Source organism: Homo sapiens, chromosome 2 (genome assembly GCF_000001405.40).
Source record: "Homo sapiens chromosome 2, GRCh38.p14 Primary Assembly".
Taxonomy (NCBI): domain Eukaryota; kingdom Metazoa; phylum Chordata; class Mammalia; order Primates; family Hominidae; genus Homo; species Homo sapiens.
The window spans coordinates 179,934,098-179,935,843 of NC_000002.12; the positions used below are offsets into that span (position 1 = coordinate 179,934,098).

At 36.7% G+C, this 1,746-nt stretch overlaps 1 non-coding gene across 1 annotated transcript; it reads right to left on the bottom strand.

Annotated features, from left to right (window-relative positions):
- Positions 1-303: 303 nt before the first annotated feature.
- On the bottom strand, positions 304-441 carry LOC124900526 (small nucleolar RNA SNORA43). Its single transcript, XR_007088719.1, has one exon. It is a non-coding gene; the product is annotated as a small nucleolar RNA SNORA43 (small nucleolar RNA).
- Positions 442-1,746: the final 1,305 nt, after the last annotated feature.

The window sequence follows — 1,746 nt, forward strand, 5'->3', positions numbered from 1 at the left end:
GCGGGTGGATCATGAGGTCAGGAGTTTGAGACCAGCTGGGCCAACATGGTAAAACCCCGTATCTAAAAGAAATACAAAAATCAGCCAGGTGTGATGACAGATGCCTGTAATCTCAGCTACTCAGGAGGCTGAGGAAGGAGAAGTGCTTGAACCCAGGAGGTGGAGGTTGCAGTGAGCCGAGATGGTGCCTCAAAAAAAAAAAAAAAAAGAAAAAGAAAAAAAAGAATTACTGAATCATAGGAAACATTTATGTCCAAATTTAGCTGATACTATGCAACAGTTTTCTTCTTCTTCTTTTCTAAGAAATGTCAGGCTATAAACCATTCTTAGTGCTCACTGGTTTGTGAACACTGAGCATAGAAATAGCCACTTTTTCTTTGCTCCAATAGTACAGGCACAGCACAGCAACTGTGTCTATGGGGCTGGCAAGTCCAGGATAGCATCTGCAGGGCAGGGCAATGATTTTCTTTAACACACTTTCATGCATACATTTGATCTTCATTTTGGTGTCCTAGGTTTTAAGCTAATGCATTTTTGCCTTCTACTTTCTCCTGGTTTACCATAAAATGCTTACATTTGGACTTCAATTGGGTAAATAGTAGTTTGCCTTGCATTTAAAATTTCATAAAACCTCAAGAATCCAAAGTGTATCAAATCATCCTGCCTAGGATTCAAGGAAAATAACTGAACTGTTCCCCATTCATTCATCAAATGTTTATTGAACACCTACAAGCAATTTTTTTATTAAACCTGGGGATATAAAGAAATGTAAAATTCAACTTCCAATCTCCAAGAAGTATCTACAGTAGTTGATGACTCTTTCATCAGTAGCTGTCTGCCCCTTTCTCATGCCTTCCTGTCCTCCTGTCATTTCAACAATAGTTGCCTGCAGCATAAGTAAGCAATGCGTAGCAAGCTGGTAGCCATGAATGGGATTATTTGTGCTACTGTAGGCAGCATCTTTCATTTACCACAAACAATTTTCTCTTCTCTCCTTTGGATAACTATCCATGAGTTTAGTCTTTCCCTTTTCTGGACAAAAAATTATATTAAGGAGAAGAGTAAAATTGTTCTAGAAACTTGAGGAATGGTGATAATACTTATTTTTCACATTCTTTCCTGTATTTTAAGGGTCTGTATGTATTTGTTGTACTTGTGTATAATGGGATTTTCAGACTACATTTATATTGTGTAAGAAGATTGAAAATGTTCACAACGTTCCTGCTGTTCAGTATTTCATATTCTAAAATGATCTCCAGAATACATTGGTTGTTAAGGTAATGTGCTCAAGTATCTTTGTGGCTTAAAGGAGGTATTACAACTCCCAAAATAGCTATGCTTAGTCCTTCTCACTGGTAATATAAAACCAATTTTTGTTTGTGAATTGAATTGTTGCACCTGTGCAGTGCATTTCAAAGCCCAGGAAGGGTGCTGTTAAAGGAGAGATTCTCTGTAATTTATAAAAATGGAGCAGTGATTTCTAGTGAAACAATCAACCTCATCTAAAAATCTCTCATTTAGATGTTTCCATAAAATATTAAGAGACACCCAAAGGTCCTTTATTGTATTTTTTCCATAGGCATCTTTATTGAGTCTGTACTTATTTCCATCTACAGTTAAAGAGCTGCAAGCAGAAGTATGCAAGCAAAAGTATAGGATGGTGGGAATAGCTGATTGTACCAAATGATTCAAACTATCCATCAACAGGAAAATCCTTGAATTAATACAGATACTTTTAGTGCAAGT